This window comes from Homo sapiens, chromosome 11 (genome assembly GCF_000001405.40).
Source record: "Homo sapiens chromosome 11, GRCh38.p14 Primary Assembly".
NCBI lineage: Eukaryota > Metazoa > Chordata > Mammalia > Primates > Hominidae > Homo > Homo sapiens.
In genome coordinates this window covers 50,027,960-50,037,424 of record NC_000011.10, presented here as the reverse complement: position 1 = coordinate 50,037,424, position 9,465 = coordinate 50,027,960, and the positions used below count along the sequence as shown (strand labels likewise).

The following is a 9,465-nucleotide window of genomic DNA, read 5'->3' as shown; positions in this document are numbered from 1 at the left end:
TAAGGAAATGACTGCTCCATAGACAGAGCAAGGCTTTTCCATAGGCAGAGTAGCTCTGCTTGCTTGCTGGCTAGTTATATTTATAGCTACTCCTTAACTATGGTAAGTAGTGGGTGGTTATTCATGAATTTTCTGGAAAAGAGGTGGAGAGTTTCCAGAAACTAGGGTTTCTCCCATTTTAAACCGTATAAGGTAACTTCTGGGCATTGCCATGGCATTTGTAAACTGTCAGGGAACTGTTGGGAGTGTCTTTTAGCATGCCAATGCATTATAGTTAGAGTATAATGAGCAATGAGGATGACTAGAAGTCACTTTCATTGCCATCTTGGTTTTAGCTGATTTCAGCCAGTTTCTTTACTGCATCCTGCTTTGACCAGCGGGGTTGTGACTGGTGCTTGGAAAACAAGTCCTGATGATCCACCTGAATTCCAGAATGTATACATATTTCAAAACATCATGTTGTACATGATAAATATATGTAATTTTATCTGTCAGATAAAATGTTAAAAAAAGAAATTCACTGCTTCCAATACATACAAAACATACAAAGTGAGTGCTTAGGTCAGGACTTCATTCACAGAAAGTGCTTAATAGAAATTAGTTATAATCATTATCACAATTGTCATCATTATTCTTATTTTTGTATTATCCTATTTCTCATTCTGTTTTTCTTGGGAATTACAACTACATTTTTTAAAAGTTATACTTTAAGTTCTACGGTACATGTACAGAAAGTGCAGATTTGTTACATAGGTATACACGTGCCATGGTGGTTTGCTGCACTCATCAACTCATCTATCCCTCCCCTAGCCCCCAACCCCACAACAGGCCCCAGTGTGTGATGTTCCTCTCCCTGTGTCTATGTGTTCTCATTGTTCAACTCCCACTTAAGAGTGAGAACATGCAGTGTTTGGTTTTCTGTTCCTGTGTTAGTTTGCTGAGAATGATGGTTTCCAGCTTCATCCATTTCCCTGCAAAGGACCTGAACTCATCCTTTTTCATGGCTGCATAGTATTCCATGGTGTATATGTGCCACATTTTCTTTATCCAGTCTATCATTGATGGGCATTTGGGTTGGCTCCAAGTCTTTGCTGTTGGAAATAGTGCTGCAGTAAACATACATGTGCATGTGTCTTTATAGTAGAATGATTTATAATCCTTTGGTTATATATCCAGTAATGGGATTGCTGGGTCAAATGGTATACAACTACATTTTTAAAGGATAAATTTTATTTTTAAAAACAGTGTTGTTTGCATGTATTTACAAAATAGGCACTCATAAGAAATTATGAAAATGCATTTATTTTTAAAAAGGCATTGCATGCAAGATGTGACCTGATACAAGGTCCCGAGAACACAGAAAATGTCTGCATCCAGTGATGTGCAGCTCCATGGGTTAGAAATGTCCTCCTAAAAACATGTTTCTGAGTTCTCCCACAGGAACCACAAGCTAAGTACAGACAGATCTTTTGGTCCTTGGCACTGACTCTCCTTTCTCCTTCTTTCAGAGGACCAGAACAGGATGGGATCTGTCATTCATCAGAGCTTTTAAACTTAGTTCTGCTCAGGCATCTCACAGTGGCCCCCACCAGCTCCCTCATTTTAACTACAGAGACATTGAAGAGTATTTTCATCTCAGAAGAGAAAATAAGTGATGGGATAGACTTTAATTTCCAAAGACCTGGTTGGTGGCTCCAGTAAGCATCCCAGGTGAGAAAACAACCTACCGTTGTGCTGTCTGTATGTGTAAGCGGATGACATTAATGACAGATTTTTTGTTTGTTTGTTTGAGACAGCGTCTTGCTCTGTCGCCCAGGCTGGAGTGCAGTGGCGCGATCTCAGCTCACTGCAAGCTCCGCCTCCCGAGTTCACACCATTCTCCTGCCTCAGCCTCCCATGTAGCTGGGACTACAGGCACCCGCCACACGCCTGGCTGATTTTTTTGTATTTTTAGTAGAGAAGGTGTTTCACCATGTTAGCAAGGATGGTCTCGATCTCCTGACCTTGTGATCCACCCACCTTGGCCTCCCAAAGTGCTGGGATTCCAGGCATGAGCCACTGCGCCCGGCCATGCTAGATTTTGAAATGCAGTGGTCTGACACAGACATTGAATCCTGCTACGCCTGTGGGGACTGAAGAAGAGTGGTGATGTACTTGTTATCGTTTGTCTGGAACCACAGTCTGCTGCATACCTTAGACTCCGGTGCCATCCCTGAAGGGTATTCAGTGTTGGACCAATTTTTATGACTTTTCAGCTGACTCATGGTTTCACTTTAAATCATTTAATTATCATTACTGAAAAAAAAACATGTAATGTTATTTCCCTTTTACTGATGAAGGAACAGGTTGAGAGGTGAAACAATTTGCTTACATTTATAAGGCTAATTAATTCTGGAGACCAGATGAGAAATCAAGTCTGTTTGACCCAGGGCTCTTAATCCCTAACTTCAAAGCATCTGACTATATCTGAATCTTTTAGCATTTCATTACATTCTTGATATGGATTCTTTTCTATAATCTACATTTATGATCACTGTCATCCAGTTTCATGATACAAACTTATTTCTACATCTCTGGTAATTTCCTTTTCAGCTGTTTTGTTTTCAGTGCTTTCTTTTCCTTTGCTGGCATGTAAAACCAGATTTTAATGTATAGATATTTTTTGCCTTAACTTTATTTTTATCAGTTACATTTATCAATTATATTTCTTTTGCTCCAGCCAATAATACTTTCAATTCTTCCTGGGTGCAGTGGCTCACGCCTATAATCCCAGCACTTTGGGAGGCCAAGGTGAGCTGATCACCTGAGTTCAGGAGTTTGAGACCAGCCTGGCCAACATGGTGAAACCCTGTCTCTACTAATAATACAAAAATTAGCTGAGCATGGTGGTGTGCACCTGTAATCCCAGATACTTGGGAGGCTGGGGCACGAGAATCGCTTGAACCCTGGAGGTGGAGGTTGCAGTAAGCTGATATCATGCCACTGTACTCTAGCCTGGGTGACAGAGCAAGGCTCTGCCTAAAAAAAAAAAAAAATACTTTCAATTATTTTTGTAGAGAATTGTATACTATAGAGAATGGAGATATAATTTTTTAAAAGTAAGTTTTCATGAAAATGTTGTTTTTAGCCCTTTCATGTATAGTTGTTTGTCCTCTTGTAAAATAAAACTTCATTCTAGCTGTAGTGCTGAGTATGAAAGGTGTCAAGAATGTTGCTGTTAATCTGTTTCATACCCACAAGCAGGCAACAATATAAATTTTGTGAGCCCTTGAAACTTTTGCCCTTGTGAGTTCTTTCCTCCATAAAAAGTATTAAAAATTATATTTTATGAGTGTATTGGCATAAAGATAAATATAATCCAGTTGTACTTAGATTATATTCATTTTCTTCTTCTTCTTTTAAAGAAATTAAGCATTAAGCATTTCAGCGGCTCCTAAAAGTATCATGGGCTGTTGGCACTACTGTGCCTTAATAAATATGTCAGCCTAGCCTAATATATGTCCTCCTAATAAAAATTGATGGAGACAGGATAAGATAATTGACTGTCCCAAGTTTAATCAATCAAGAAATAGAATAAATCTCTATAAAATATCACCAGATATTCTTGCCTAAATGTTTGTGTCACCAGACTTATTTATCATCAGTTGTCATTATTTGCTTCCAGAGCTTCTTAATGACATTTTTCACTGCTTTATTTTTGACAGTGTAGATTAAAGGGTTCAACATAGGTGTAAATAGGGTGCAAAACACAGTCACAGCTTTGTCAGTGGGGAAGGAGGTTAGAGGTCTTAGATACAGGTATGAACAAGGGACAAAGAATAAGATGACAGTGAAGATATGAGAGGCACAACTAGACAGAGCTTTGAGATGCCCTTCAGAGCTATGAGACCTTAGGGAGCACAAGATGATGACATAGGAAGCATCCAGTATGGAAAAAATGAGGAAACACAGTGACCCACTGTTGGCAGCAATCAGAGGCCCTAAAGTGTGAGTGTCTGTGCAGGCCAGCTCCAGAAGAGGTACTAAATCACACATAAAGTGGTCGATGACATTGGGGCCACAGAATGGTAACTGGGCTATGAACAAAGTCTGGATTCCTCCATGCACAAATCCCAGAATTCCAGCCACCACCATCAGGAATCCACACATAGATTGGGTCATGATGGTTGCATAGTGCAAGGGCTTACAGATGGCCACATAGCAGTCGTAGGCCATGACACTTAATAAGATGGTCTCAGCTGCCGCAAAGAAATGTTCTGTGAAGAGCTGAGTCATGCAGCCATTGAAGGATATGGTGTTGTTTTCAGAGATCAAGTCAAAGATCATTTTAGGGGCTATGGAAGAAGAGTAGAAAATATCTATAATGGATAACTAGGACAGAAAAAGGTACATGGGGGAACCCAGGGCTGGGCTGATGAAGATGATGACTGAGATGAGCAGGTTACCTGCCAGTGTGATCAAGTAGGTGATTAAAAACATAACAAACAGGAATTTCTGCAGTTCTGGATTGTGAGTGAGGCCCAGCAGGATGAATTCTGTTACATTGTTCATCTCTTTTTTCATAGATTTAGCTCAGGTTGTGTGTATATGGCCCACCTGAAAAAAAATAGTATTTCTGAATGATGATATTTTAAATTCAATACTAAAATATTTCATCACCTCTTTAGTCCTGGTTTTTGGGGGTGATGGAGCTACATTGCCACTCACCTCTGCTGTTTTGCAGAGTTGTAAAGAAGAACAGAAGATTAGATTTCTCCTAATTCATATATTAATTAAATAGTGATAATATCTTACAAGTACCACAAACAAGATCTTGTTATAAATGTTGACTTCCAAACTTCCTTTCTGGCTCTAAAATTTCACATATGGCTTTCTTTCATTTTGGGGGAGGACAAATCTTATCAATAACAATTGTTTTGAAATTATATTTTCTCTTGTTATGGTTATTTATAGGTATATGAACCCAGTATGTGTATTAGATACTAATATGCATATTTGATACTAAAGTGCAAAGCCTTACTAATTCTAAGCCAGCTGTGTTCTGTGATCTATTGTCCTTTTCTGTCATGTAAATGCACATGTACACAGATTGAGACAGAGCTGCAAATGGAGATATTCTTCTTTCAGAATGCTGGGTAACTATCACAATAACAGCTCATTGAGGATAATTCATTCAACATCCCTGAATGTTGCATCTATCTCTAAATGACCCTTTTTTTCATGCTCACTCTTTCTGCATCTTTAATTGTGGCTATATAAATGGTGCAAAGTTATAATATTTAATGATATTTCATAAATACATTTCCCTCACGGTTGAACTTTTATCACATACAGAATTATACACCAGATTAGATATACTTCCCCACTCACATCTTACAAATGGAATTAAATGAGTCATGATGTTTTCCCTGAGTTTTCTATCGGCAAGACAGAAATGTCTGGGTCACCTGAGATAATGCAATTTTCTCTTTTGGCATAAGTTCAGTCAATTAAGATGAACTTGTAGTTTTCATTGCTAACTGGTAAACAACTGGAAATTTGTATTGCTAATGGAAAACATTCAGTATTATAAGAATGTAGATATTTTTGAATAATCTAGACAAAGAGTTTCAAGAGTAAGTACATATTGTTACAAAAGAGCATAAGATATTTTATTTCTTCTCCTCCCCCTTTTCTCCTTCTTTCCCTAACCCCTGGCAAAAATGTAACCACATAGTTTTCCTCAAAAATTTCTAGAAACAGAAATCAGTCAGCGTCATGACCTCTGAGCTTCATTAAAGGTGAGTAAAAATATCTTTGGTTTTCAGGAAAACTCAGTTGCTAAGTTGCTTTCTCTTTATTCATGGCTTCTGTAGATGGTGATTATATGGTTAATCATCCTTAATGGATTTAATTCACAAATTCTAACTTCAATGTAGCAATATGGGAAGTCACGAAAAGGGGAAAAACATTTCAAGCATGACAAACAGAAATCTACAGAATCAGTGTATTCAGTGAGACATAAATGTTAACCATGATGTTTTAAAAGTGACTTCAGTAAGTTTTTAGCAGCATCTGGTCTGGCAACATTATGCATAGGCTTTTCTATTGATATTTTTATGTCAGTGTGTCCAAATTCATTTTCAGAGAAAAATACTCAACTTTAAGTCAAGTACGGAATGACAAAAACTACTTCACTGAAAACAAATTGGCTAAAACAAGTTAATCTGCTCAAAATTTAGGAGAAAAAGTATAGTTTTCACTGACCCGGATCTAGTTGATTGTGGATTCCTCCAATTTTAGATTGAGTGCAGTCACTGCTTTCTTCTCCTGCAGGCATGGAACATGGCCACAAATAGATTCTATGAGCTGACAAGTGGGATATTGGAATTCCCTAGATGGCTCTCCCAATTCTGACATTTTAGTTTATTTTGCTTTCCATTGTCAGTCTGAATTTACTAAGAAAACAAGATGTTTCAGTTAGGAAACTTCAGTATCTCTAGGATTGAGTGTCTACTCACTTTCTGGGTTTCCTATGAATGTATAAGCCAATCTTCAAAATATATCTATTTTTCAGATCTCTTAGGACTCTATTCAATCCAGATTAAAAACTAGGAATAATGCAAAATTCTTCAAATTTGGAAAATGCAACTATAAAATGAATAAGTAAATCAAATCCACTTGATTGGATATTGTTTTCTCAAATCTATTCTGATGAAATTTTGTTTCCTTGAGTCCCTGAAAAATGTGGTGAAAGAATTCCTTTTATTTATGATTCAAGTTCTCCTTCAACTCTGTTTTCCTAGAAACCCACTAAGCTCAGGAGTGGTGTTTCCCAAACAAATCTTCATCATTTTGCATCCTGTCTCTGCTGCTGTCATTTGCTCACAGGTCCTTCTTTGTAATTCTTTCTTCATTGGCTCTAGAGAAATATTTAAATAGACTATCACAGACTGCAGGATTTGGCAATGCATTGACCTTTCAAGTATCCAGAGGATTAGCAATTGGCCTTGTTGGAATGTTTGGCAAAGCAATAGTCAGGTCCTTCATTCACTCTCACTTGGCACTCACAAACGTCATTAGTGGCTAGTTTTAGAAATGCAGTTGAACTTGGGTTAAAGATATGTCTGTGGCTATTGTTTAGGATAAGATTTGGAAACCTTCACTGTAGGGCTGTTTTGCTAACTGTGGCATTGTTGAGCCTAGGATATGGCATGGTTTTAGGCAAAGGTCAGAGTTCAGAGAATAAATTTTTTTCTGAACCCTTGTCTGGTCTAAATGGTATGGTTGCTCTGAAGAATGGGGAATACCAGTATTCAAGGTCATGCGTCAGATTACTCTGGGAGATTGTGAGATTTTTATTAATGGCTGACTGAGGGGACTTACATGGCAGGATTTCCAACTACCAAAGATTGGGTCATTTAAACTGACAGAGATATCAACTTCCTGTAGGATGATTACCTAGATGACATGTTCTCATGATGAATTCAAGAGTATATATCTTTTCTTTCTACCCCACAAAGAGAGAATGGTGTGACTTGGAGTAGGTGTCACGCTTTCCCACATTGCCATTGAGAATCAATCACATTCAGCCAAGCACTTACGTATGATGACATCCAGAGGTGGAGAATAGAGACATTCTAGAAGAAGGCTCCACTGCTATCTTCTCTCCTTCAGCTTGTGAGGTGATGAGGAACTGACAGCAATTTTGCATGGAATCACCTTTTCTGCTCTCAACTTTTGGTTTCAAAACAAACTGACACACTCCCAAAGTCCAGGACCAGAAAACAAAACCTTCCTCTATTCTCAATGGAATGGGGGCCTTACTCATTGGCCTAGAGCCTGGAACTAGCCTGGTGCTGGGGCAGGAATGGACCCTGGGTCTACAAAGACCAGTCTGGAGTCTGAGATTGCAGGGGCTGGCCTGGTCCCTGGAATCATAGGGTTCTGGAATATGGAGCTGTGGGGATATGCTTAAAACTTGGGTCTTCAGGGGCCAGACTGGAGACTGGGTGTATAAGTGCTAGTCTAGGAATTGAGTTCACGATGGATGGATGGGTCCTGGGGCCTCAGATGCTGGCCTGAAACGTAGGTCCACAGTAGCATTCCTAGAGCCTGGGTCCAGCAGGGTAGGCCTAGTGCTGGGGTTTATTGGGATGGGCCTGGACCCTGGGTATTCAAGAAGCCCTGAGTCCTAGGTCTGCTAAAAAGTAGGAATGCTGGGGTTGGCCTGGTGGGTGGGGCCACAGGGACCAGTCTCATACTGCATAAGCCTGGATCCTGTGTCTGTGAGTGCTAGCCTGGTACCTGAGGCCAGGGGTGCTGACCTGATGCTGGAGTGGGCCTGAAGCCTGGTGCTGTGTAGGCCAACCTTGCTCTGAGCTGGTCTGGAACCTGGTGCAGAGCTGGAAACTGGGGTCACAGGGGCTGGCCTGGTACTAGGCAAGCTGGGAGCCTGGACCTGAGAGTCAGCTTGGAGTCTGGATCTGTGGATATGGACCTTATGACTAGGGCTATGGGGCCTGCCTCACACTGGGGTAGGCTTGAAACCTGGAGCCACTGGAGTTGGCCTGGCAAAGTTGTGGGTCCAGAGACCAAGTCAGCAAGGGACTCCTGGAACCTGGGACCATGGGGTACTGGCCAGTGCTGAATTTTACTGGGGCTATTCTGATATTAGAGCCTGAGGCAAAGTCCAGTGTTCATTTCCCTCTCCTTCCTTCATGCAGAGGCTATTTCTCTCTATGCCATGCTGCCTGGGGTTGTGGGGAACACAGGTGGTGACACAGGTAATGTAAAATCATCCTTCCTACCCTCTTCAATGCATCTTTTCTTATTTCTGTGCTACACCCAGGTGCTATAATATCTCAGCTGGTTTCCTTAGCTCTTGTGAAGGTATTTTTGAATGTAGATAGTTCAAACTGATGCTTCTGTAGAGGGACAAGAGTTGTCTGGTGAGAATCTTCATATCATTATTGATAAAGAAACTTAAGGTTGAGAGATTCTGTTTTGGTTCCTATTTTCCTGACAAGTAGGAGGTGTAATTTTCTGAGATTAAAGGAAAATTTGTGGAATATAGATGTATTAGTTCTCATACTGCTGCTATAAGGAACTACCTGAGACCAGGAAATTTATGAAGAAGAGATTTAATTGACTCATAGTTCTGCAGGCTGTACAGGAAGCATGGCTGGGGGCCCTCAGGAAGCTTACAATCATGGTGGAAAGTGAAGGGGAAGCAAGCACATCTTACTATGGTGGAACAGGAAACACAGTGAAGGGGAAAGTGCTACACATGTTTAAACAACCCAATCTCATGAGGACTTACTATCATGAGAATAGCAAGGTGGAAATCCACCCCCATAATCCAATCACCCCCAACCAGTTCCCTCCCACAACATTGAAAATTACAATTCAACATGAGATTTGTGTGGGGACACAGAGCCAAACCATGTAATTATGCCCCAGCCCCTCCCAAATTTAACAACCTTA

The 9,465-nt window shown here is 40.1% G+C and overlaps 1 pseudogene across 1 annotated transcript; it reads right to left on the bottom strand.

Annotated features, from left to right (window-relative positions):
* Positions 1–3,630: 3,630 nt before the first annotated feature.
* Positions 3,631–4,551, bottom strand: OR4C45 (olfactory receptor family 4 subfamily C member 45 (gene/pseudogene); annotated as a pseudogene). The gene has a single exon (NR_160275.1). The product of NR_160275.1 is annotated as an olfactory receptor family 4 subfamily C member 45 (gene/pseudogene), transcript variant 1, non-coding (transcript).
* Positions 4,552–9,465: the final 4,914 nt, after the last annotated feature.